This window comes from Homo sapiens, chromosome 7 (assembly GCF_000001405.40).
Source record: "Homo sapiens chromosome 7, GRCh38.p14 Primary Assembly".
Lineage (NCBI taxonomy): Eukaryota > Metazoa > Chordata > Mammalia > Primates > Hominidae > Homo > Homo sapiens.
In genome coordinates, this window is record NC_000007.14 from 36,285,304 (window position 1) to 36,312,855 (window position 27,552).

Consider the following 27,552-nt stretch of genomic DNA (forward strand, 5'->3'; position numbering starts at 1 on the left):
TTCTTATCGGCTGCATCTCAGGCCCGATTCCTTTATTACCAGGGAGAAAGGCCTCTCAAGGGGTGGTTTGGGTTTGGAGGGGATTCAGGAGGAGCTCTGGGCTGTGGGCCAGGGGCAGTCCTGTCACTGGCATCGCCCATGTGGGAATCTCTGTCCCCCCAGCATCTGGGAGCAGCTCAGCAGATTGATCGAGCGCAGTCTCTCTGGTTCTCCCCGGATGCCCTTGGGAAGTGTTAATGAACCGCAAAATGGTCAGCAGCTGGACAGCAGAAGCCAAAGCAGGTCATGAAGTTGGCAGTCAGTGAGCCTTATCCCCGTGGTCCTTGACCATGAGCTCACAGGCCAGGCAAGCAGGTCCGGTGCCTTGGAGCTCAGCAAGCGTATCCCCTCCTGGGCATGGAGACCCCCTGCTTTCTGTGTGCTCCAGAGCAGTTCTTGAACCTGACAGTCACCTCAAACCCCAGCCCAGGGAGTATCTGCCAGCTGAGGGTTGGGAGCAGCCCCTGTGTTGAGGCTACAAGGCCCTGTGCCACCTTGCACACTGTGAGTTGATGAGGGTGGGTGTGTGCTCACCCTGGGGGTATCTGTCACACCCAGCAGCCCCTCTCATTCCTCTGTCTGTGATATTGATGGGGCTCTGTCTGCACATGTACACCTGGGGGTGTCCATGGGTTGTATCTGTGGTACTGACGTGTAAGTCAGCCAGGTATCACCTTTAAGCCTCCTAACACCACCCTGGGCCCTTTTTTTATGTCAAGTTCCTGTTCCAGTGTTGGCCACCTGGGGTTATGGCCATGTAACCCTATGGGTGATACTGATAATCCAGTATTACCACAACGCAGGCTGTTTTTAAGGGTATAATGAGAAAATGCTGGTTAGCCCAAATCCTCTAAATAAAGCAGCCCCCTAAACAGGCACTTGGCCTCTTGTACTTCATGTCACATTATAGGCCTGGCAGTTGGTGCAGTACAGAGATGGGGCTCATCTCCTCAGGCACTGTGCCCCCCACCCAGCCTTAAGATGCTTTCTCTAGCAGGCAGAGCTGCAGCTGCAGAGCTCTTGGTCCTGGTTGCTGGCAAACTGGGACCACATCCGTAAGATAAGACGGGCACCCTCCACTTCCTGGGGGCTTCCCCTATACCCCTTCCCTTCCTGGCAGTGTTGATGTTGGTTGCCATGACAAATGGAAGGGCAAGATTGCTAAGCCCTGAGCAGCTGAGCAGTGCTGTGATGCCCAGAGACAAACTCTGACCCTGTGTTTCTGCACTTGCCCTTGGGGATGCAGGGCTAGGGCATGTCCTAGGCTGGCCAGGTTCTGTAAGCTTTTGGTTTGGACACGTTTGAAATTAGGTTAAAGTCAGCATCTGGCTATAGTGGGCTCCAGAGAGAAAAGAACACAGAGGAGCGTGTGTGGGAGGTGTAGGGAGGAGGAGGAGGCACATCCCAGCGGTGGGTCCTGGCAGGAGACCTCAGGCTGGCCCTCTGGAGAAAAGCCCCAAGTCTATAATAACAACCAGCTGTCAGAGTCACCTCCTTTGATTGATTGATTGAAATGGGGTCTCACTATGTTGGCCAAGCTGGTCTCAAATTGCCTCAAGTGATCCTCCCACCTCAGCCTTCCAAAGTGCTTGGGGTTGTGGCCGGGTACGTAGCTCATGCCTATAATCCCAGAACTTTGGGAGGCTGAGGCAGGAGGATCACTTGAGGGCAGGAGGATCACTTGAGGTCAGGAGCTTGAGACCAGCCTGGACAACATGGTGAAGTCTCTACTAAAAATAAAAAAATTAGCTGGGCATGGTGGCACACACCTATAATCCCAGCTACTTGGGAGGCTGAGGCAGGAGAATCACTTGAACCCGGGAGGCAGAGGTTACAGTGAGCTGAGATCATGCCACTCCACCCCAGCCTGGGTGACAGAGTGAGACTCCTTCTCAAAAAAAAAAAAAAAAAAAAAAAAAAAGTGCTGGAGTTACAGGCATAAGCCACCATGCCTGGCCTTCCACCTCCTTCTTATATAGGACTGCTTAGAAAGAAAGAAAAAAACTCAAACATTTACAGATATGCAGATATGCCCAATCTTTTAGGCTCTAAGTGAGGAGTAGGCGGTGGGATGTTAGGGGTGGACTGGTAGAACAAAATAGGCCTTGTTCCTGCAGGTGCCTTGGAAAAATCGAAGATGAAAGACCTTACATTATTTCCTGGGGGTGTGAGCCAGCCTTGTTCTTGTTTACCATTGTCAACTCTGTGCACAAAGCTATTTATGAGTCGGTTGTAACGGATACAGGAAATATGAGCTTCTGAGCCTCTCCCTGTTGCTTTGTTTCCTGCTGCCTAGGTGGGAAGTCACGACCTGACCCTTGTTAACCTTCACCTGGCAGCCCTGACCCTCCTGGGGAGCGAGAATCCCAGCAAGAATCACAGTGATGGCCACCGGTTGGCGAGCTTTGCACAGACCCTACAGGAAACCCTGAAAGGTAGGACATTGTCTTTTGCTGTGACTCGGCCACTGTTTTGCAGAGCAGCAGGGCTGCCTCTTCTGAGCCATCTCTGACCACTTGGGCTGGCTGTTTGTCAGCAATGTGAGTCGCGGGTACAGGGGACAGTCAAACCTCTGGCATCTCATGGAGCCCAGCTGACCCTGCACGGCCACATCTGTGCCTCTGTGGACCTAGCATATGCGTTCCAAGCTGTCAGCTCTGTGGCTTTTTAGCCTCATTTAGATAGAAAGGATTAGGGGGGAAGAATATAAGTGATGATGCCCTTCCCCGAAGACAGCTCATCCTGGGACCAGCTGCCTCGGGCATCACTCCGGTGGTGCCGCCTGCAGATTTGCATGTGCTCTTCCTGTGAAAGAGAGACGGGGGTGACAAGGGGAAGTGGTAAATTGCTGATGATTGGTGAATTGAGTTTTTCTCTCTGGCGGGATACAGAGCATGTTGAAGAAGCCCTGAACCTGTCAGAAATGCTGGATTTTAATCTTGTAGGACCTCAGGCAAGCCACCAAACCACTTCAGGCCCCCATCTGATGGGGGACAGTACTCATCTCATAGCAGTACCCAGAGGGCTAAGTAACAGTGTCTGCAGCAATACCAAGCACATAGTAGGGACTTCATGTACACGAGTTGACTCTAAAACATGAGAAGAATTAAGAGAACACTGAAAAGAGCAGAATTCTAGCTAGGCACGGTAGCTCATGCCTGTAATCTCAGCACTTTGGGAGGCCAAGGCGGGAGGATCACTTGAGCCCAGGAGTTCAAGAGCAGCTTGGGCAACATAGTGAGACCCTGTCTCTACAAAGAACGAAAAAAATTAGCCGGGCATGGTGGTACACACCAGTAGTCCCAGATATTCAGGAGGTTGAGGAGGGAGAATCACTTGAGCCCAGGAAGTCGAGGCTGCAGTGAGCTTTGATCGCACCACTGTACTCCAGTCTGGGCAACACAGCAAGACCCCATCTCTTAAAAAAAAAAAAAAAAGGAGCTGAACTCCAGGACAAAGGGGGGCTATGCCCCAACTAATATAGATGGTTTTCTGCACTTGGTTTACCAAAAGAAAAGGTTGACAAGGCTGTGAAGACTGTGATCTTATCCATCTGGCTTGATTTTTCAGAACACTGACCTTGTCTAGGTGAGTTTGTAGTTGGAGGCTTGGAATTCTCTTCTATCTTTTGAGTCTGGACCAATATTCTCTAGCTTTCTAAGACTTCCTCGTTAAACTGGCCCCTCAAATTGGGAGATTCATGAAGATTTTACTACAAAAATATTTCAGTCAAACTGTAGGCTCACATTTCAAAAGATGTATGTATGTATATATGTATATATGTATTTGAATTTGCATTTCTAACAAAAAAGATTTTTTACTGTGGTAAAATATATGTAACATAAAATTTACCATTTTAATCATTTTACATATTCAAGTCAGTGCTACTAATGTATTGACATTGTTGTACAAACATTACCACCATCCGTCTCCAGAACCTTTTCATCTTTCCAAACTGAAGCTCGGTACCCATTCAACGATATCTCCCCATGCGCCCCTCCCTGCAGCCCTTGGCAACCAGCATTCTACCTTCTGTCTCTGTGATTGTGACTACTCTAGGTGCCCCAAATAAGTAGAATGATAATATTTGTCCTTTTGTGTCTGGCTTGTTTCACTTAGTATAATGTCTTCAAGGTTCATCCATGTTGTAGCATGTGTCAGAATTTCCTCACTTTTTTGTGTGTGTGTGTCGCCCAGGCTGGAGTGCAGAGGCACGATCTCGGCTCACTGCAAGCTCCGCCTCCCGGGTTCACGCCATTCTCCTGCCTCAGCCTCCCGAGTAGCTGGGACTATAGGCGCCCGCCACCGCGCCTGGCTAATTTTTTGTATTTTTAGTAGAGACGGGGTTTCACCGTGTTAGCCAGGATGGTCTCAATCTCCTGACCTCGTGATCTGCCCGCCTCGGCCTCCCAAAGTGCTGGGATTACAGGCGTGAGCCACAGCGCCTGGCCAGAATTTCCTCACTTTTTGAGGCTAAGTAATATCCCACTGTGCATCCATCCACCATAGTTTGTTGCTTATCCATTCATCTTCTGATAGACACTTGGGTAGCTTCCACCTTTGTCCTGTTGTGACAACGCTGCTGTGAAGATTGATGTGCAGCAGCTTTTCTTTTGAACCAGGACATGCCGTGACCAACGTTCTACTTTAAGGATGAGTCCTCAGGCTAAAAACAGTCAGAAGATGCTCTATCCAAGAAGCAACTGTGTGGGAAATTGTCCACCTATAGTTAGACTCTGATCTGTAAAATGGACAACTTGATAGCTTGTCACATCTGTGGACATTACTATTGTTCTTGATCTCAAACTTTTTGTGGAAGCAGAAAGGAAAGATGCCAGCTCATAACTTCTTTGACAGCCTTAGGCAGTCACCATCCCCCCACCCCACCCCTGGTATCCAGGGAGTAGTCAGGATTTTGGCAGAAAACCTTGGGCAGGTTATGTTCCAAATTGCCAAGGTACTATTGACCCACAGCCTGGCTTGGCCTTGACTCATCCAAGTAGGGACAATGACTCATGCTGCCTGTGTCCCCTGCTTGTAACTAGTACCCAATTAATTATTAACTGGTGACACTCCAGACCCAGGGGTTCAGGAAGCAATTCAGCCTGCCCAGGTCTAACAAGGGTAGACAAGTCAGCAGAGGGGTTCAGCTAAAGCAAAGACAAAGCCTTCATTCCACAGCTTCTATCAGAGCAAACAGAACCGATGTGGTTAGCAAGCTCCGGGCCTTTCTGCCTTTGTCTGGAACGTGCATGCAGGCTGACGTCAGTGGGGATATGCCAGTCCCCTAGTGGAACCTTCTTCCCTCAGACCTCACCAGGACTTGGGGACAGGGTCTCCCTCTGTGAACTGAGCAAGAGTGAAACAGGGTGTGTAGTAACTCTTGACATCTTGGCAGATGGTCCCTCAGTGGGGACTGGTTCCTGTAGTTGTCATTGGCGTTTTATAAATCTAGAGACTCTCTGAGGAAGTCAGCCCAAAACGTTCTCCCCTCACTGCTGGGAATCAAGGGAGCGACAAAGGAGCCCAGCCCAGGTGGGTGGCTTTTTAGGAAGATAACTCAGGCTCCTGCGCATCTACCTGTGGATTCTCAGAAGCAACAACTGCCTTGATGTCATCACCGACGCGGATTCAATCGGAAGAACATGAGTTGTAAGAAATCCGATGTGCTCATTCAAAAAGGGAACCGTTGTCACTCCTGAAGCTACACAGAGCTGGCTCTATTGACCCTTGACACCAGCGTCTCTCCTGGCTTTAGAATTGTCTTTTTCAGCCCAGACCTTTGCAGGCCTGCATCCCAACGAAAACCTCCCTCATTATATGGGAACTTTGTTTTCTTTGATATTCAATGAATGTAGCATCTTTCTCTTTGTTCCTTTCCAAATCAAACTGCACCCTAATTCTGGGACATTTGTGGTTCCGCTTGTCTGTTGCTCACATATTTATTGAGTGCCTGCTGATGCACTTGGTGTCGCAGTGGACAGCAGCCACTTCCGTGTGGTCTTCCATCCTAGCCCTTTGTGGTGAGCCCTGGATTTGAGGCCTGGCCTGGTGACTTTGGACAAACCTTCCCACCTCTGGGAGCCTGTTTCGTACCTGCAGAAGGGAGATGGTAACAGCACCTGCCCCATGGGTCGTGGCTGTTAAGTGCGGTGCTATCGAGGAAGTGGTCAGCACAGTGCCATGACTATTATTCAAGCTGGCACTGATTTCTCCATGGTGTGGGTGGCCCTGCAGGAGAGGCTTCCTTCCATCCCACCCATTGTCCTCACTCCTCCTAGAGGAGGGCGCCATCTGCAATGCACATGCGCCCTCTGGTGGTGGCCTGAGTGGCTTCCCTTCAGATTCCTTTCCCTGCAGTTGTTATTACGGAAGCACACCCGTGGCCAGGAAAAAAAGATTTGCCAAGTGTCGTGGATACATTTATGACTTCGTTTATGAACTGCTTTCCCTAAAGCCTCCTTCACAAGGTGTGGCAGAAATGCCACCTCCTGCTGTGGGACAACAAGGGTCAAGCAGAGCCCAGGGGAATCCCGCAGAGCCCAGCTGGGGGGCGAGTGTTCTTTCAGGATTTCTACTCGCTTTGCTTGGAAAATACTTCATAACTATCCCACTTCCTCTAGGGTAAATCAGACTGTGGGAGAAATGTCTAAAATGCTTTAGGAGAAAACCTTTCCCCCTTGGCCCTGAAATCACTTTGTAGTTCTTATGCACACATATTTAACTTCCACTGTGTGTCTCTCCCTGACAAACCTGTGAAGCTGTATCAGGAAACTGATCAGGAAGGGGGCCCACGCTACATGTGAGTGCCCCGTGCCAGGCGCTTCTGGCGGCTCCTCTAATCCTGACACCAACCTGGGAGGAAATGGCTTGTTCTTTCCCTTTTATAGACTAAAAGGCTTGCCCAAGGTCACGAAGCTGGGAAGTGACAAACTTCAAATTCCACACTCAGAGTCATCCAGCTGTTTTCTCTTAGAACCGGGGCCGAGAACCACTGTTTTCTTTCTTTCTTTTTTCTTTTCTTTTCTTTTGTTTTGTTTTCTTTTCTTTTCTTTCTTTCTTTTCTTTCTTTTTCTCTCTTTTTCTTTCTCTCTCTCTGTCTCTCCCTCCCTCCCTCCTTGTCTTTCTCTCTCTCTCTCTTTCTCTCTCTTTTTCTCTTTCTCTTTCTCTTCTTTCTTTTCTTCTTTGACAGAGTCTCACTCTAGCCGAGGCTGGAGTGCAGTGGAGCCATGTTGGCTCACTGCAACCTCTGTCTCCCGGGTTCAAGCGATTCTCCTGCCTCAGCCTCCCAAGTAACTGGGATTACAGGCGCCCACCACTATGCCCAGCTGATTTTTGCATCTTTAGTAGAGATGGGGTTTCACTATGTCGGCCAGGCTGGTCTCAAACTCCTGACCTCAGTGGATCCCCTGCCTCAGCCTCCCAAAGTGCTGGGATTACAGGTGTGAGCCACTGTGCCTGGCCTAGAGCCACTGTTTTCTGATATTCTCCTGTGTCAGGTTTTGTTTCATTTTCAGCCCCTCTGTGACCACTCTTCCTCCTAGCTAATTTGGATTCATAAGTCGAAAAGAGGACTTGGAAGAATAGGACACAAAAGTGTCACTGTTTTCAGAGAATATGATTGTTGGTTTGTTACACCTAAAGTTAAAAAAAAAATTATTCCCAGTAAGAGAATTAAGAAAACTGCCTAGTTAAAAAGTTAAAATAAAAAATTAGTCCTTTTGATATATATCATTAGTAACCTGTGGAAATAAAAAAATTTAAAAATAACCATTAGAGAAAATATAATGGGATAAAACAAAGATCCCATTCATAATAAAAATCAAAAATATAAAATACTTAGAAATGTGGTGGTAAAGTGAAGAAAATAATAAGACTTCAGTGAAGAATTTTTTTAATAAATACTTCAATCAATGGAGAAACATGGCAAAGTGTTCTTGGGTGAGACGTGTTAACAGTTCGAGGTACCCGTCCTTTCCATGTTTCCGTGTAGTTGACTGCACCAGGTCTCAGCAGAGCTCTTTAATATTCTAGTTGTGGTTCCCATACCTGGCTGGACATGCAATCCCAGAGAGCTTCAGGAAATGCTGAAGACCAGGCCACCGGAGATGCTAAATCAGAATCTCTACAGGTGGAACTCCAATTTCTGAGAGTGGGACTCAAGCATTAATATTTTTATGAACTCCTGATGCCCCAAGGGCTTTTTGTAGAGCTCCCCGGCTCCAACTTCAGTCAGATAAGCTCCACTTTTACCCACTCTACTTTTGGGGCTTCCTACAGGATCTCATTTGAGAAAAGGAACACCCCCACCCCATACATTTTAAAAAGAAAAAATGTTTAGCCGGGCGCCATGGCTCATGCCCGTAACCCCAGCACTTTGGGAGGCCAAGGCGGACAGATCACCTGAGGTCAGGAGTTCAAGACTAGCCTGGCCAACATGGTGAAACCCCATCTCTACTAAAAATACAAAAATTAGCCAGGCGCAGTGGCACACATCTGTAATCCCAGCTACTTGGGAGGCTGAGGCAGGAGAATCGCTTGAACCCGGGAGGCGGAAGCTGTAGTGAGCCGAGATCGTGCCACTGTACTCCAGCCTGGGCGACAGAGTGAGACTCCATCTCAAAAAAAAAAAAGTTTCAAAACTTCTTATTTGAAGCACATCCATCTCCAGGATGTACTGATAAGAAAAAAAAAAGTAGGAATTGATAGGTAAAGTTGCTAACATTTGAGTGAAAATAACTATGTAAGTATACACGTCTGCTCCTCTGTGTAGAGTGTCTAGAAGGGGACACAAGGAACAAGAGAACAGCCTTCTCCTCCTGCCAACCAAAGATAAGAATGTTAAAGTTAACATGAGTTTAGTTTAAAATAAAATTTGGGAATGAAAATTTCAATATCATGAGAATATATAAACATTTTAAATGAAAGAATATTAAAACATCTAGTACTCACTCAAATATTGATCAATATGATAGAATAAAGCTCAGAAATAGAAATGTTATACAAAAAGATATTTAAGATAACAGGCCAGTATTACAATTTAGTTGAGAAAAAAAGGATTTTTCTAGAAATGATACTGGCAGAGGGGGTTAATTATTTGCATGAAAAAATAAAAGTAAATTCTAGGCAAGCTAAAGAGTGAAATGTATCATCACATAGGAGGAAGTGGGGGAAAAAAGTGAAATGTAAGAAATGAAATGATAAGAAGAACTTAGTGGGTATTCGTTTGATTTTGGAGGCACTCTAGGAAAATTCTGCCAGATTGTACTACATTTAAAAAAAATTTTTTTTTAACTTTTGTGTGCTTCAGTTTGGTCATAGACAAATGAAAAGGCACATCACAAACTAAAAAGAAAATCAGTTCCTATATATGATAAAGGGTTAATATGTTTTTATATGGAGAGTTCATATAAATCAATAAACAAAACACTAATACCCTGTACAAATAATAGACCTATCAGGCATCGTTTCTGATGCCGTTCTCTGATGAAAGGAACCAGGGCTCCTCAGAGAAATGGCTGATGCGAGGACTGAGAAAATACACAGTATGGTAGGTCAGGCACGGTGGCTCACGCCTATAATCCCAGCACTTTGGGAAGCCGAAGTGAGCGGATCACTTGAGGTCAGGAGTTCAAGACCAGCCTGGCCAACATGGTAAAACCCCATCTCTACTAAAAATACAAAGATTAGCCAGGCGTGGTGGTCCATACCTGTAATCCCAGCTACTCAGGAGGCTGAGGCAGGAGGATTGCTTGAACCCGAGAGGCAGAGGTTGCAGTGAGCCGAGATCCACCACTGCACTCCAGCCTGGGTGACACAGCAAGACTCTGTCTCAAAAAGAAAAAAAGAAAAAATATGTATATACAGCATGATCTTGGAGCATCTTGTCGTGTCAGAAGGAAGTGCTCAAACAAGCAAACAAAAAAAACCTGCTGGGTGGATGTCAAAAGGACGCATGAGCCAACTGAAAGAGCTCTCAGTGACCAAAGCTGGAAATATTTCAGGAACAAAGTCAATGACATAGTACTGGATATAACTCAAGGTATACCTGACTTATACCTCATAAGTATCCATGAGTCCGTACTGATCTAAGTAAATGGTTGAAAAAATTAATAAATGGGAAGAAGAGATCCATCCCTTGTGCAGCAGAATTCCAGATAACATGTGTAGATACTCTAGCCTAAAGGAGGGGGAGCACAACTTCATTTTCTACAAATGGAAGACATCATTTTCACATATCAAATGAATGTTTTGATGAGGGATGCAGTGAGAGGAATTTCCTTAGGTTGCTGGGGAGGGTTGAAACCAGAGCAGCCTTGGAAAGCAGGCTGGCAGTATTTATCCAGAGCCTTAACAATGGCCATAGTTTTTCATGAGGACTCTCTATAGTTCTAAGAACAGAAAGCTGCCAGGTGTGGTGGCTCACGCCTATAATCCCAGCACTTTGGGAGGGAGAGGCGGACGGATCACTTGAGGTCAGGAGTTCGAGATCAGCCTGGCCAACATGGTTAAGCCCTGTCTCTACTAAAAATACAAAAGTTAGCAAGGCGTGGTGGTGGGTGCCTGTAGTCCCAGCTACTCAGGAGGCTGAGGCAGGAGAATCGCTTGAACCCAGGAGGCAGAGGTTGTAGTGAGCCGAGATTGTGCCACTGCACTCCAGCCCGGCCAACAGAGTGAGACTGTCTCACAAAAAAAAAAAAAAAAAAAAAAAAATGAGATGCTCACTTCAGCATTATTTATAGCAGTGGCTACTGGGAACAGCCTTAAAAGTGACCAGCAGCAGGAAAATGGTACATTATGTGCATCAACATGATGGATGGATGGATACTGTGGGCTGCCCATTGAATGCCAGGAAGACCCAGGCTTTTCCCTTGGTCTCTTGATCTGAATTTGACCCTCAAGCAGACAGAGTACAGTTCCCAATCGAGGAGTGGCTGCTGCTTATATCTCCAACCTCATCTTTAACATCTGGCTTCTTGATACCTTGTCCTAGAGAAGTAGCCAACTGAACCTCAGGTACCCACCCCACCCCTGGGAAGCCAGGCTGTTTCTTAGCTCCCTGGCCTTGCATAGGTTCCCTCTCATCCATGTTGACCCAAGCACTTCTGTGCATCCTCTGAGACCCAAGTCAGGCATTGTCTCCTCCGGGAAGCCTTCCCTGACCACCTTTCCCTGTGCTGTGTTGGTTTCAGTATGTGTGTTTGTTTTTGCACCTACTCTGTGCTCTTGTCTGTTTTCTAGTCTGTCTCTCAGAGCAGGAGTTGCATTTTATTCATCTCTGGATTTCCTGCATAGTAAGTGCCCAGTAGTATGTTGAGTTTTTGTTAAATATTTGGGTAAGACCCTTAGGTCTTTTTTTTTTTTTTTTTTTTTTTGTGATAAGATTTGGAACCCATAGGCTTCAACAAGGGTGATTTTTGTGTCACGCTGCCCCTGATTTCCAAACGTGTTGCTGACTTACTCTTAATATTGGTGGCAGGGTGATATGCACATGAAATGTGGAAGAGTGAGGAGAGTGAGAACCATGCCACAGTACTAACCCCATGGGAGTCAAGTCAGAGAATCTCAATCCCGTTTCAAAGGGCCACGGTCAGTGTTGGGTTTTACTTCCCAACAACTCTTAAACTCATTTTCTTCCTTCCACTTCCAGGAGAAAAGGATGTCATTATCTTAGGGGATTTTGGCCAAGGGCCAGACAGCAATGACTATGATATCCTGAGGAAAGAAAAGTTCCACCACCTGATCCCCGCGCACACCTTCACCAACATCAGCACCAAGAACCCTCAAGGCTCGAAGTCTCTGGACAACATCTGGATCAGTAAAAGCTTAAAGAAGGTTTTCACAGGTGAGGCAGAACTCACTTGTCCTTTCTCCTGTTCAGGAATGGAGTGAGAGAAACATGTCTGAACTGACAGAAGTCATCTCACCTCCTCTGAGGCATACATAGGATTGTGGTTTACGTGACTGTATAACTGTCATTTAATCAGAGACAGAATCCAGGAATCCAGGCCCCTGTCAGTCCCGCGCTAAGGACCACACAGTGCTTTCCAGCCATTCTCTAATTGTTTTTGTAACTATTCGTTAATTTTATTCAAATATACCTCCTGCTGCTTAGATTTCTAAATCCTCATTTTTCAAAGTGAAAGGGAGTGTGACAAATAATTTTAGAACACCCACTGACCTACAGCAAGCAGATGTGTTCCAGGCAAACCTGGTTATAGATTGGCAGAGTCCTGATTCAGAGATGAGCTGATAACGTTACTTTTAGGACACTTAGTCTTCTAGCAAACATTTGTCAAACATGCAAGTGTTGTGTTGTAGGATGCAGTGTGTAGACATGCTATGAGGTGGACATGCTGTGAGGTGAACAGGTGTCTCATATAGTGTCACAATGGGACAGGAGAAATGCTCAGTGCTCTGCAAGGAGCAGGGTATGGGGGTGATTTCACCCTCTCTGCAGACTGGTAACCTGCTGAGTCAGGACACAGTCAACAATATGGAAGAGACAGTAGGGTCTTTTGATGAAAGACAAGAACAGTATTTCTAAACTCTGACTGGACATTTTGCGAAGCCCCACGGATGCCTATTATACTTCAATGAGAAATTTAAAAATAAAAGTTGCAGGGCCTGGCTTTTATTGCGAGAGAGACTAATGGGCAGCCAAGGCCAAGATCTTCAAGACTAGGACATCTAGGCTTGACTGTCACCTGCTTCTCCCCTCTCTCTTGGGGCACTAGTTTCCTGTTGTACTCTGTCATGGGAGGACCCAAATGATGAAGAAAGTGGGTCTCAGGGAGAATGACAATTGTCAAACTAGCCTCGGTTTGCAGAAATGCGCTATGGGCCAGGAAAAGAGGCCAGCCCACGGCCTTTGCAGGCCCCCAGGAAGGTGTCTATTGAAGGAAGAGAGCTGGGGAAGCTGAGCCAACAGGGCTGGAAGGAAGTTGGAAATCCTTTCAGTGGTTCCCTTCCTGTGAAGTTGCTGAGCTCAGGGAGGAGTTGCCCCCGCTACAGAATGGTCAGCAGTGTGTGCCAAAGCTCCACCCAGAATCTAGGCCCATGTCAATCCTGCACTAAGGACCACACAGTGCTTTCTAGCTATTCTGTAGTTGTTTTTGTAACTATTCATTATTTAATTATATTCAAATATACTTCCTGCTTCATAGATTTCTAAATCCTCGTTTTAAAAATACCATTACTTTCTCATAAGCTTCTGTAATTTTTTCTTTTTTACCCTTTGTGTAGAAAGAATTTCCACCCCTAACCCCCTTAGTGTCTTTTGCTTTGCAAAACTGGACCTTTGCTTTGGACTTGGGATGTCTTTATGAGGCGTCTGTCTCTGTTTTGTGATCAGATTCACAGCAGCGCGTTTATGAGGACAGGTCAGCCCATGTGCCCATGTGTGTCTGGATGGACAGGAGGCCTGGCCTCTGGGTGTTTTCACTGCCTAAATGCAGAAACTCTCCTTTATGTGGAAAATCAAACTGGCCGAGACCTTTAATATGCACAGGCAAATGCACAGGCACCTTCCAGCTACCTGAGGCAGCCTCTCCGGGCACCCCGGCCTGCAGACATGCGGTGTGACCCTCCACCTGCCAATCCAGGACCTCCCGCACCCAACCCCCCATCCTGATTCCCGGTCTCTTTCCTTCCTCTCCCTTCAGGTCACTGGGCTGTGGTGAGAGAAGGCCTCACGAACCCTTGGATTCCGGATAACTGGTCTTGGGGCGGGGTGGCTTCTGAACACTGCCCAGTGCTAGCCGAGTTCTACACTGAAAAGGACTGGAGCAAGAAGGATGCCCCTCGGAACGGCAGCGGGGTGGCCTTGGAGCGAAGTGAAGCCAACATCAAGCACGAGCGATGATGACACCAAATCCATGTGTCCACCCTGGGACCCAGGAGGGCACAGCCAAGGAATGAGCCCTGTGGGGTGACGCTTCAGGGCAGAGCTGCCTTTTAATTTTTATTCTCAGAGCATCAGCACTTGAGGCCTTGCCCCACGCCTTCTCTGTGGACCATTCAGGACCTCCAGTGGGGGTGGCGTGCCAGGCGCGTACCCCACCAGGTGGGCAAAGCAGAAACCTGCGGGGAGCGGAGACGCCTTTTATCTCTGGATGCCACAGACCTGAGCAGCATTGGGCTGGCTGTCCGCTGCTGACTGGATGGCAGCACAAAGACAATATGAGCAGAGGGAGGAGAAGAAGGGGTGCTCAGGCTGCGGGCCACAGTCCAGCAGCGCCAGAAGCACTCATTTCTGACCACCAGGCTATGACGTTCCTGCTGCGCATTACAGAAAGCTTTTAACTGTGATCAGGCACTCTGCTCAGATACATTGAGTGGCGATTTTTAGTTTTGTTTTGAAAAAATAAACAGATTAACCTGCCTCGCTGCAGTGAGAGCATGGGACAAGTCCGCCACAGCCCTCCCCCGCCCCCTTCCCCCGCCCCCCAACGCGCAGTGTGTATTTGCACCACGGCAGGTGCCTCTGTGTGGAGCTAGGGTCAAGCCCTGAGCAGCTTCACTTCCCCTGCGCCTTTTATGTCCCCACCTTGAGGCCTTGCAGAGGCGCCTCTCAAGGCCCCATCAGCTCGCCGGGACCTCTGTGAAGCCTCTCTGTCATCTCCCCTTCCCAGCCCCTCCTTCATCCCCTGCCTCCTTCACCAGCCTGGCTTTTGCCTGGAGCACTATTTGTTTAGTTCTCTTTGCAGGACAAGAATTCTCTCAGGGTGGTATCACCTCCTCCCTCCTCCCCACTCACTCCAGTTTTTAGCCCGGAGCCTCCTGTGGTTGACTATCAGGAATGTGTGCTGTGTCAGGATACATAGGAAGTTGACCTCGGGGTATCATGGAGAGTGTCCCTCCTAGTGGCTGGAGGTAGGGACAGTTGGTTGTGGGGCTGGAGAGAGGTTGTGGGGAGGAAGCGAGGATGCGTGCCTGCCACTAGGCATCTGCATCCCCGAGCCCAAGCCAGGAGGGATTTCCCTTAGGCAACACCATCCCAGGGAGATCTGCCACAATTTGCGTTTCACAGCTGAAGACGCTGAGGCTTAGAGAGCTCGACCTCCTCAAGGTCACACCACTGGGTAAATAGAGGGATGCAGACTCAGGTTTTGCTATGTGCTCACATTTCAACTTTATGCTTAACATGAATGGAAAAATATGAAAGTAAATAGTGAAAAGGTAAGTTATGAGCTTAGATTACCTAGATTATTCCAGTATCCCATGGAAGCTGAGGACTTATTCCGCTTTCCACACCGAACACTAAATGTGGACCAGTATCAAGAACCCTCCTGTCCCCACGCAGTGTAAACCCAGTGGCTTCTCTGACCTGGAGCTGATGGGCCGTGAAGGGGGCCTATTTTTCTCCAAAGGCCATCCTTTTGGGGCCACCTGGCTCCAAGAAGCATCGCTGGTCTTGGGGACGGGAAGGGAACCCTCTTCCAGGAGCTCTAAGGGTACTTGGGAATCAATTGTGTCCATTCTGAGGTCTCTCCAGTGGGAGGGCGGCAGCTCCTGTCCCTGGGTTCAGGCTGTGCTTCTGGAAGCATCGAAATGGGATGTCTGAGCCTTGAGGAAAAGCAGCAGGGTTAGCATTAAAGTCAAGAGGGGCAGCTCAGGATGCTACCAGGGAGCACATCGTTTCTGGTGCCTCATCTAAAGGTGAAACCTCCCCTACATTCACCAGCCGGATGTCCCAAATCCCTTTAGCCAGATTGCTTTTTGCAACCAAAGCTGTGGACAGAAAAGCCTCCTTAAGTGAGCTGAGGGGACAGGAAATCCAATCAGATGACCTTTGTGTTCGTAATCGGGCTTGAGCCAGAGGCTGGGGAGCTGAGTCCCAGCCAAACCTCACTGGCCCTTTTGCTTTTCACGCCCAGGGCTCAGTGGCCCAGGAAGTGTGCTGGGCAGCCTGTTCTTACTCCAGCTCAACCCATTGGGTGTTGGCTGTTTTTGGTTTTAGTTGTTGTTTTGTATTTTGTTGTTTTAATTAATAGGCTTTATTTGTAAGAGCAGTTTTATGTTTACAGAAAAATTAGGCACAAAGGGATTCCCATATCCCTCCTCTTCTTTGCATATTTCCCCCTCTAATTAGCATGTTGCATTAGCATGGCACTTTGTTACAACTGATGAACTTGTATTCATTATTAGCTACAGTGTTCATAGTTTATATTAAAGTTCACTCTTTGTGTTGTGCATCCTATGGGTTTTGACAAATGTAGAATGACATGTATCACCATGCTACAGAATCATTCAGAATAGTTCCTCTGATGTAAAAATGCCCTTGTGGTGGGGCATGGTGGCTCGAGCCCGTAATCCCAGCACTTTGGGAGGTGGAGGCGGGCAGATCATTTGAGGTCAGGAGTTCGAGACCAGCTTGACCAACATGGTGAAACCCCATCTCTACTAAAAGTACAAAATTTAGCCAGATGTGGTGGCGCATGCCTGTATTCGCAGCTACTTGGGAGGCTGAAGCACGAGAATTGCTTGAACCTGGGAGGTAGAGGTTGCAGTGAGCTGAGATCATGCCATTGTACTCCAGCCTGGGCAACAAGAGCGAAACTCTGTCTAAAAAAAAATACCCTTGTTCTCCATCTATTCACCCATGCCTCCCTCCCCCTAACCCGTGACAGTCACTGCTCTTTTCACCATCTCCATAGTTTTGTCTTTTCCAGGGTGTCGTTTGGTTGGAATTATAGAGTATGCAGCCTGTTCACGTGAGCTTCTACCCCTAGCCACATGCATTTAAGGTTGCTCTGTGTCTTTCTATGGTCTGATAGCTCCTTTCTTTTTCCTGCTGAGTCATGTTCCGCTGTGTGGAATTGACCTGCCTCCCTTGGATTGTTTCTGTGCCTTCCCCGGAGCTTCCTCTCACCCCAGCCCCAGCTCCACCCACAAATGCGGCATTTCTGAGTCCACCTCTTCCATTCTCCCTCTCCATTCTTTTCTTGCTTCTCCATCTTCCAAGATTGTCTGAGAAGGGGCCTAACTGCGAAGGACTTTGTTGGAGAAGCCAAGGGAAGTCCCCTGCTGCTGAACCGGGGCTGGGAGGGGAAGAAGGGATTAAGTACAAGAAAAGCTCTTCCAGTCCCACAGGCGCTGACTAGGAGCCCACGGCATTCTCCCTGCTCTCCCTATCATAGGAGAACCGCAGGCAGCCAACTGTCCCTTCCACGCCCCAATGGAACCTCTCTCCTCTCCTGCCCATTGTCTACCACAGATCAGAGATGGCTCTTTCTATGCAGGGGTGGGGACCCAGCCATCTCTATCAGCTCTGCCGGCACTGCAGGGGTGACTGACTAGAGGCGGGAAGCCCTCCTGGGCCTCAAATAACTAGGCCCAAGCTTTGACTCCCTCATGGCTGCTCTAGGGACTGCAAGGGAGGACACGGGCTTGGCCTTTCCTAAAGGGCTGCTTTCTTTCAAAGTCAAGGGGATGCTATTTTCTTCTTTGTGTTTCTTTGGTTCTGACATCAGAATTCTCCTCAGTGCAGATAACATTGCCCTCTGGAATGGGTGAGAATCCTAACACCTGGGTTTTCGGTTCTGCCCAGCGTGGCTTAAGTCTCCACCTTAAGTGAATCTCACCTGAGACAGCTACAGGGTTTGTTTTCTGGGGAGAGGAATTAATGACTTGAACAGCACTCACGGGTCTTAAACTTAGCATACAGTTTCAAATAACCCATGCCCCCACTTATTGACCCCTTACTGTTCTAAGCACTTCATACTTTAAACTGACTTCATCCTCAGAACAGTGCAATCAAGTTGGTCCTATTATCTTTCTTCTGTTCCTTTCACAGAGGAGGAAACTGAGGCATGGAGAAGGTAACCAGGCTAGGGCTGTACAAGGAGAAAGGGCAGAGCCAGAATGCCTGCCCACCAGCGTTGCACTTCTACCAGCACGCCCTGCACCCAGAGGCAAAGTGCCTCTGCCTGGGCTTAGTTGGACATAAACTCTTACACCACAGACAGAGTGGGTGGCACTTCTCCCCTGAGGACCCCGGGTGTGTTGTCACTGCTCCATGGCTACATGCCCAGGATTTGGAGGCAGCAGGCCTGGCTTCTGTCCCAGCTCTCTGTGTCATAGCTGCTGGCCCCTGCACGTTCAAGATGTCTGGCAAAGTCCCAGTTTTCTTGTCTATTAAGTGAGGACAAAACCTCTCTGAGAAGGTTGTGAAAAACAAACATCTGCCCAGCTCTCAGGGCATCTGACTGCAGGGCCAGTGGTGTGACACTGCAGGGAAGCCATTTGTTTCAAATGCTCTGACACATCATAAGGGCTCACTAAGTGGCAGCGTTTCTAAAAATAATCTTTCACTGCTTATTTCTTAGTGTTTACATTGTATCCCCAGGCTCTCTCTGCTCCTTCCAAGCTTTGTGGTTTCCCAATAGCATGGAATTCTATACTTTCCACTGGTCAATTTGGGCCCTCGGAAGTAGGGACCCCTGGGCCAGTGGTACCTGTCACATGCACACTGATTATTAAGAAAAACCCAGAGGCTCTCTCAGGGCCAAAAACCGCTGCTCCCAGGCTCCAGCTGTTCCTGGTAGAGAAACTCAGTGGGAAACTCAATAAAGCTTCTCTGGGGACCACACACACACAGCACCTTGGATTTACCATGAGCACAAGGACAGGAGGCCACTGGGTGAATTCCTGTGGGGAGGGACAGCCAACATTCCCTGGGATGGTCACTGAATTTGGCAGGCCCAGCCTCTCCAAGGAGTGTCCGCAGAGCAGCCTGCATGAGCAGACACATTGTGAGTGGTGTTGTGAGGGGCTTGGGAAGGGTAGGTCATGCAGTCAGGGGGCAGGTCATTGTGCTTCTAGAGGAATCAGCCGGGAGAGGATTGGAGACGACTTAAGAGCTCGTGCCTCGGCATGATCCACCACTGCATCCTGGAGAGAAAACCCCCCTGAGAGGGGCAGTGTTTGCCAAGGGATGCTTTGTTGGTGCAGGAATTGAGGTTTGAGGGTGAATGAGCAAAGGTGTTGGCCATGCAGAGTTGTGAGGATGTGTACACAACGACACGTGCTCATGTGTGCACACCAGATACCCTAGTGTACTGTGCTTCATTAATGGGCTTAAGCAGCCTGAGGCCTGTTGGATTTTCGGGGTGCCGGCTGACAAGTCCTAGGGCTGGGCTGGTGCAAGGCTGCATTAGCAGTTCAGTGCCTGGAGATGTTTTCTTGGGCTTGATTCCTACTTCTCCCCCCTCAGTAAAGGAATACTTGGATGTTTTACTTTGAAATGCTTTAAATAAGGACAATCCAATTCAGTATGGCCTTGAGGTGTGATTTCTAAAGTGGTTTGGATGGAGCCATCACTTGGATCTGAGTGGCTCGTTGGTACAGAACTCTCTCTCTGGGCCAGGCTGGAAGTTGCAGTGAACCCTCATTCAGAGCCTCTGGGACCAGGCTGACACTGGACACTTCCTTCCTAGGAACTTCATGAATAGCACCTTCTCCAGCCTGCCCACTTAGCAGCTGGCTGGTTAGAATAAATTAAGTAAGTGAAATAAGGGAGAGAGGAAGGGGGAGGGGAGAGAATGATCAAAGCCCAAGCATCCATCCATCCAACTCATATTTACTGAAGGCCTAATGTGTGCCTGACACTTCACGGGATAATCCCTTTTGTGTGAAGCTTACAGTTTAGCAGGGAAGACAGAATTCATTATTCATAGCTATTGACATTATTACAAATAACAATTATTAAAAAGCCATCTGAAAAAGTTGCATGGAAATTTAGGGGGAAAAAAGCCCCGATTTAAGATAAATAATCCAGTTCAGTAAACATTTTTAAAATTAGGACCCCCCCCCAAAAATGGTGCTGACTCCTGAAATGGAGGCCACATGTGTTTGAACAAATTAAAGGCCACCTTGGATGAGCGTAGCATGCGAGGCCCGCTCTCCCGTGCTCCCACTCTTTCATGCCCCCACGCTCCCACTCTCCTGCGCTCCCATGCTCCCACTCTCTCACACACTCGTGCTCCCATGCTCCCCCTCTCCCATGCTCCCATGTTCCCACTCTCTCATGCTCCCGTGCTCCCCCTCTTCCATGCTCCCATGCTCCCACTCTCTCACGCTCCCATGCTCCCCATCTCCCGAGCTTCCGTGTTCCCATGCTCCCACTCTCAGGCTCCCATGCTCCCCACTCTCACATGCTCCCATGATCCCATGCTCCCGCTCTCTCACGCTCCCATGCTCCCCGTCTCCCGCGCTTCTGAGCTCCTACACTCCCATGCTTGCCAAGCTCCACCATTGTGCCGTGTGCTGTCGTCCCTGTTCCTACCATGTCTTCTCACAAAACTTTCAGGATTAAGCAATTCCTAGCCAAGAAACAAAAACAAAATTGTCCCATTCCCCAGTGGATTCAGATGGAAACTGGTAATAAAGACAGGTACTGGCCGGGCGTGGTGGCGCACACCTGGAGTCCCAGCTATTCGAGAGGCAGAGGCAGGAGGATTGCTTGAGTCTGTGAGTTCCAGGCTGCAGAGAGCTGTGATGGCAAAAACCATCAGGTACAACTCCCAGGAGAGACACTGGAGCAGAACCAAGCTGGGCCTCTTGGGAACTGGGTCTGAGATACGCACATATTGATGCAAGATCCCTAGTGTCTGACCTCATCAAGCCAAAAACATTACCACTATTGGGACAGTTCAACATATTTTATTAGGGAAAGGATTTTTCTCTTTGTTCCTATGCTCTGAACTTGTAGTTTGGCTTAGTAATAAATATGTAAGACTTTTTTTGAGCTGCTAAAAGAATAAAGTTCTCCACAGGACTCGTAGAGAGCTATGCAGGCAGAGGTGGGCTGGAGTCAGCTCCTACTTGCTCATAGGAGCTGATTGTTCAAGTTTCAGGAATTTTACCAGCCGGCTGTTAGTTATTGGTAGCTAGGCTTTGCCCTTGGTGAGAGTATTTACGCCATGAAGATTGACAAAGGCTACAAATCAGAACACTTTCCACTGAGAGCTCGTTGTTAGACATTTACCAGCACATCACCAAGGCCAGGGCTTGGTTCTTCAGTGCAAAACATGGGTGGAGACCCAGCTCCTCCATAGCTGGGAAGATATCCAGAGGATGGAGATGCTTCAGTCTGGAAAGACACGGCCTGTCGGCTTATATGAAAAAAGTCTCGAAACCACACAAACTGCCAAACTATACTGAGGGAGAAGCCCAGACTCCTCATTGAGCCTTGCAATTTTTAAAGCATGGATTCTGTTATTTTAAAATGAAAACAAGTACCCTCTTCTGCAGTCAATTCAGAGTCTTGACTGCCCTTCTAGCACCCTTCCTCATTGCTGACCCTGAGCCTTAGCGTGTGCTTTTCCTCCTGCCTAAAATCTTCTATCCACTGGAATCCACCCAACCCAGAAACCCTTCCCAATCCCCGCCCCAACATCCACCTCCAGGGTCTTCTGCAACCACTCCATCCCATGCCGGTTCCCTGCCTGCCTCGACTCCGGTGGTCCTAAACGTCCATGGGATTTCCTGGCACTTATTTGCTCACTGTCTTGCCTTGCTACTTAACGTCAGATGGAGGTTCAAGTGGTTTCCAATGGGGAGAGGTGCATTTCACAATGTCTGGAGACATCGTTGGTTGTCACAGCTGGGGTGATGGTGCTACTGGCGTCTAGTGGGTAGAGCCCCGGGATGCTGCTAACATCTTACAACGCAGACAACCCCTGCTTCTCCAGCAAGTCTGACCCCAAATGTCAATAATGCAGAGGTTAGGAAGCCCTGTTGTACACTAGTGACCACATCCTAGTTCAAACTTACTCTCCAAAGAACCAAGCACAGAGCCAGGCATGTCATAGACCTTCAATTGTTCGAGGCAAGTGTGCCTTTACTCACCTCAGGGCTTATTTCCAGAACACATTTCTTCTACCATGATTACCACCCACTCCCACCTCCCTCCTCCCTCTTCCAAACCCTGATTGAAAATATAAACAAGTACGAGTTACATAAATTGATAGATAAAAAGAACGGGTTATCAATAGAAGCCTGCAGTGTCAGAGGTGCACCTGCATCTTCTGGGTACTGTAGGACTTGCATTCCTTTCCAGAAATGTGCCTTTTAAGCCTCTGCAAGCTGAACCCTGTTCTCTCTCTGGCCACCTCCCAGTGGCTTTACTTCTGCCCTTCATCCGCTTAGCTGTTGTCATACAGATTGCAGAGACATTCTTGCTGCACAGAAGCCAAATGTAGTTGTAAGAATAATTTATGGATGGTTCCATCCATCCACATTAAAAAATAGTTCCTTATCAGCCAGGTGCAGTGGTTCATGCCTGTAATCCCAGCACTTTGGGAATCCAAGACGGGTGGGTCACCTGAGGTCAGGAGTTCAAGACCAGCCTGGCCAACATGGTGAAACCGTGTCTCTACTAAAAATACAAAAATTAGCCAGATGTGGTGCTGGGCTTGTAATCCCAGCTACTCGGGAGGCTGAGGCGGGAGAATCACTTGAACCCAGGAGGCAGAGATTGCAATGAGCCGATATCATGCCATCACACTCCAGCCTGGGTGACAGAGCAAGAATCAATCTCAAAAAAAAAAAAAAAGTTCTTTATCATCTGTAGTGGGTCAGGCACTGTACTAAGCAGGGGTGAGCTTGTATCTTTGACAGCCATAGGACACTAACCACTAACCAATCAGATCAGACACTAGAATAGGAGCTGGGCCAGGGAGACAGACAGACACGGACACACCCAGGCAGACGATGATACTAGGAAGGGGCAAGGCAGGACCACAGCAAAGGCCCCAGTGAAAGGCAGCACCACCACGGGCAGGTGCTGTTCTGGCCCCATCCTGGAGAACGGGGCTGGCGGAAGCTCGTGGCCCTCCTGGGAAGGCCTGTTTCCGACTGTCCCCAGAGACTCTGGGGATGAATGAGGTATGGCCTAAGCTTGTGGGAAAATTGCAAATCAACACTGCATCCTGGAAAAGCACTTTGGTTTGGCCTCGAGTCACTGTCCTTTCATTTCTCTTCTGACCACAGTGAGTGCCCCGTGTGAGGATGACTGGGTGGAGGTGGCGTCTTGCTGGCTGATTGCCTTCCAGTGGAGCAGGGACCATCTCTTAGGTGGACAATGAAGGCAAAATTAAATTTTTCAAAGAATTTTTCAGCCACATTAGAATTGGTATTTATCAAGGGCTTATTAGGGCCAGAAGTTATATTAGAAACTTTATGAATATTTCTCATACAGTTCTCCAGACAATCCGGTGAAACATGGCTTAGTACCCAGGGTGCCAGGGCTCAGAGATGAACAATTTTCCAGAAGCCAGAAGTGGAGGTGGGAGCTGAAAACAGCCTAACTCCAAAGCCCGTGTTCTTTTTTTTTTTTTTTTAGACAATCTTGTTCTGTCACCCAGGCTGGAGTGCAGCGGCACAATCTCAACTCACTGCAACCTCTGCCTCCCAGGTTCAAGCGATTCCCTTGCCTCAACCTCCCGAGTACCTGGGACTACAGGTGCGCACCACCATGCCCAGCTAATTTTTGTATTTTTTGTAGAGACGGGATTTCACCGTGTTGGCCAGGCTGGTCTTGAACTCCTGACCTCAGGTGATCAGCCTGCCTTGGCCTCCCAAAGTGCTGGGTTTACAGGCATGAGACACCACGTCCGGCCAAAGCCGGAATTCTTAGCCCATACTTTTACTCTATTCTCTTTCTCTTTCTCTCTCTCTCTCTCTCTCTCTCTCTCTCTCTGTGTGTGTGTGTGTGTGTGTGTGTGTGTGTGTATGTGTAACAGAGCATTTTTGTTTCCATTCTTAAATATATTCTTAATTTTCTGCAATGAATATGAAAGCATCAATTTGGTAATCAGAAAGGAAATAATATAATCACGAGCACAAAGCTGAGTTAAGAAAAAACGGACTGAACTGACTTCCCTTCATCCTGCAGCCTGCAGGCCCCTTCCTCCCCTGGGGGTGCTGCTGCTCCAGCCCCCTCCTATCTCATCTTTCCTTAGGGAGCTGTCTTGAGAGAGAGACTGAGACGCTGGTCTCCCCGCAGCAGGTCCTGACAGCGGTGACTTATCCAAGCAGAGCCTCAGGCACCACTCTCTTCTTCAAAAGTTACCAGAACAACCCTTAGGCAACTTCTTCCGGGTCAGCCCAACGGCCTTTCCCACACACCTGGGCCCAGCCTCAGGTGTCTGGAGTATTTCCTAAGTAGAATTGGGGAAGATGTCTCAAATCACGCCAGGCAGCAGCCATCTGGAAAATTGCTGCTGGCTTAGCACCCTTGGGCCTGGTGGGTGAGGAGGTTCTTCCGGCCCTGGGCTCCTGCCTGGTGTCCCCTCTCAGTCAGCGCCTCTACCCAGGGCAGGAGCAGCCTCCGTGGAAGGGTGAGACAAGCTGGCTGCAGTGCAGGACAGCTCTGCTGGTTGGGTAGAGCGGAGACAGCAGAGGAACTTCAGCCTCCCAGAAGAGTAAGAGCTGAGCGAAGCTGTGAAAGGGGTATCCTTGCTTGGTTCATGGTGGGTACCTTTAGCCCTTGAAAGCCTCAGTTCCAGCCCAGACTGAGGAATGGCGGAGCGCCTCCCCAGCAGAGAATTCTGCTGTGGGAATGAATGGTTGAGCTCCAGGGCTTCCGGCTTCCTCCTCTCGGTTAGCAGCCTCTCCTGCCGAGAGCCCCCTGGGCCCTGCAGCCTGGGCCTGCCCATCATCAGCCCAGAAGGCAGGAGGTTTCATAAAACAGAATTAGAAGTGCAAGTTTTCTAGAAACTTTAGGATTAATTAATAAACAGATGGTCTATCTCTTCCTCCTTCCCCGGCATGGGAAGGGTTGAGTAGAGTTAGAAATCCACTTAAATTTGCAAAACGTAGATAGTTGTTGAACCTGGGTCAAGGGAACATAGGGGTTCATAATATATTTCTTTCTACTTTTGTGTATGTTTGAAATGTTTCACAACACAATGAATACAATGCACAAATAATAAAAAGCCCAAGCCACAAAAAATAATAAAACACACTTTTTAAAGGAATAAAAACATATTTATTTAAAGCATAACTTTTTTTTTTGTTTGAAGCGGAGTTTTGCTCTGTTGCCCAGGCTGGAGTACAATGGCGTGATCTCAGCTCACTGCAACCTCCACTTCCCCGGGTTCAAGCGATTCTCCTGCCTCAGCCTGCCGAGTAGCTGGGATTACAGGCATGCGCCACCATGCCCAGCTAATTTTTTTTTTGTATTTTTAGTAGAGATGGGCTTTCACCATGTTGGCCAGGATGGTCTCGAACTCTTGACCTCAGGTGATCCACCCACCTTGGCCTCCCAAAGTGCTGGGATTACAGGCATGAGCCACTGCGCCTGGCCAAAATGTATACTTTTTAAAAGAATCAGCAAGTACTGCATTTCCCTGTAGACCGAGGTGCCAGCGTTCTCGCAGTTAGGGGTGGGCGTGTGTGGAAGGGATTTGCCTCTGTAATTCCTTCCTTTTATGCCAGTCCCTGGAAAGAATCACCAAAAGGAATTCAGTGTTTAATCCTAAAAGGGGAACATTAAAATGTATGTATTTGAAGGGTAAATTAAAAGTCCCAGAGAGAAAAGAAGAAAGGGCTATTTAAAAGCCCTCGGTTGCTTTTTGTGCGTTAATCACCTGTTGGGCACCCACCAGGATAGGCCCTGGGAGTGGGGTTGGGGGAGAGGGAGCAGGAAGATCCCTGCCTTCCAGGGCCACTCCTCCCTGGTCTGGGTATACGGTCTCCAGTGCAGCGCTCCTGCAGCTGCGCAAGCCTGGATGGGAAGCTGCTAGCCAGGCCGGAGTGGGATCCTCTTGTATTCCATGTTCACCTCTCCGTGAGTCTCCACTAAAGATGTGGCCAGGAGGAGTCTGAGCACCCACCAGGTCAAAGGGAAACTTCTTTCTCTCTCTCCTGGCTCAGAGAAGCCTCACCCAACAGCCAGGCAAAACAATTCATCCCTCCATCTTCTATCATGTGTAAGAAAACCGTGGGTCACCTTAATGAAATTTTTATTTTTTTTTTGAGATGGAATTTCCCTCTTGTTGCCCAGGCTGAAGTGCAGTGGTGCCATCTTGGCTTACTGCAACCTCTGCCTCCTGTGTTCAAGCAATTCTCCTGCATTCAAGCGATTCTCCTGCCTCAGCCTCCCGAGTAGCTGGGATTACAGGCGCACATCACCATGCCTGGCTAATTTTTGTATTTTTAGTAGAGACGGGGTTTCACCGTGTTGACAAGGCTGGTCTTGAACTCCTGACCTCAAGTGATCCACCCGCCTCAGCCTCCCGAAGTACTGGGATTACAGGTGTGAGGCCCCGTGCCCACTGCCCCGGCTACCACCCCCGCCTTAATGAAATTGAACCCTGAGCCTCCAGGCTGGGGATGCCTGGGGCTGGTTCTCCTCAGCTGAGAGGGCCTGAGCAGGCCAGCCCAGCCCTCTGCCCAGAGTTTCCTTCCTGCTGTGGCCACAGGGCTGCCACGGGGCACTCACCTTCCCACCTGCAACACTTCTGTCCGCAGCACAGCTAGGCCTAGCTGGAGCAGGTAACCCAGCCTTTACCCAAGACTTAAGGAGAGCAAAGAAGAAACAACCCCAGGGAATCATGAAAGCAGCTTTATGTGGCCTATAAGGTGGAATGTTCTCATCCTCAGCTTGTGGGAGTAGATGGGTGGTCTCCCTGCCTGACCCCACCTGGCAGACGCCAGCAGCCCCTGCCTCCTGGGAGGACCTTGAGTGGAACTGGACAACAAGGCCTCTCTCTGAGTGAGGCCCAGAAGTGGACAGCGATGAGCCCTCCTGCCTGTCTAGGGCTGTCATCCGAGTGCCACTGTTTTTGAGACAGGGTCTTACTCTGTTTCCCAGGTTGCAGCGAAGTGGTATAAGCATGGCTTACTGCAGCCTCGACCTCCTGGGCTCAACCAATCCTCCCACCTCAGCCTCCCAAGTAGCTGGTGAGACCACAGGCACTCAACCACCCCACAGGTTATTTTTTTCCCCCAGTTTTTGTAGAAATGGGGTCTCCCTATGTTGCCCAGGCTGGTCAGGACCTCCTGGGCTCAAGCAATTCTCCTATCTTGGCCTCCCAAAGTGTTGGGATTACAGGTGGGGGCCACTGTGCCCAGCCTCTGAGTGCCACCTCCTGCCTGACAATCAGTCCCTTCCCCAGTTGCCAGGCCCCAGAGATGTTTGTCTCTGTCAGAGAAGAGCCCAGCACTACCCACAAGGTCTACAAGAACCCATATTTGAGGGCGGGGCGTCCAGCAGATGGAAAAGAGGTGGGGAGGTATTCCTTAGGGGAAGAAGGGAGGGCACCGAAGTGAACAGGTGCTCGCTGCCAGCCTTGTCAGCACCACACACCTGGCAAGGCGCCTTAAACCTCACCTCAGCCCCATGGTGCAGAAAAGAAAACCGAAACTCAGAAGATAAGTAACCAGTACCTGGGCCTCGCCGCCAGGAGGCAACAAAGTCAGGATTCCAGCTCAGCTCCGACACCTGTGGCCTGGCTTTTAACAGTTTAGAGGGAGGCTCACAATTAAGAATAAATGCAGAAAAAC

General features: G+C 48.8%; 1 protein-coding gene across 1 annotated transcript in view, besides 2 other annotated features; it reads left to right on the forward strand.

The window, feature by feature from the left end:
• EEPD1 (endonuclease/exonuclease/phosphatase family domain containing 1) overlaps positions 1–16,235 on the forward strand; it is a 148,285-nt gene extending 132,050 nt beyond the window's left edge. The window contains exons 6-8 of the mRNA NM_030636.3: positions 2,336–2,474; positions 11,690–11,884; positions 13,704–16,235. Of these exons, the coding sequence (NP_085139.2) occupies positions 2,336–2,474; positions 11,690–11,884; positions 13,704–13,903 (534 nt within the window). The 3' untranslated portion in view covers positions 13,904–16,235. The remainder of the gene's footprint in view (positions 1–2,335; positions 2,475–11,689; positions 11,885–13,703) is intronic.
• Positions 6,737–7,031: a silencer, noted in NCBI's record as "tiled region #9097; K562 Repressive non-DNase unmatched - State 4:PromP". NCBI's record gives its function as "represses a minimal TATA promoter and a strong SV40 promoter by Sharpr-MPRA in K562 cells {active_cell/tissue: K562}" and the evidence as "EXISTENCE:reporter gene assay evidence [ECO:0000049][PMID:27701403]".
• Positions 26,229–26,746: an enhancer, noted in NCBI's record as "H3K27ac-H3K4me1 hESC enhancer chr7:36351141-36351658 (GRCh37/hg19 assembly coordinates)". NCBI's record gives its function as "activates a minimal SCP1, AML or CMV promoter by ChIP-STARR-seq in naive H9 embryonic stem cells {active_cell/tissue: H9 hESC(naive)}" and the evidence as "EXISTENCE:reporter gene assay evidence [ECO:0000049][PMID:30033119]".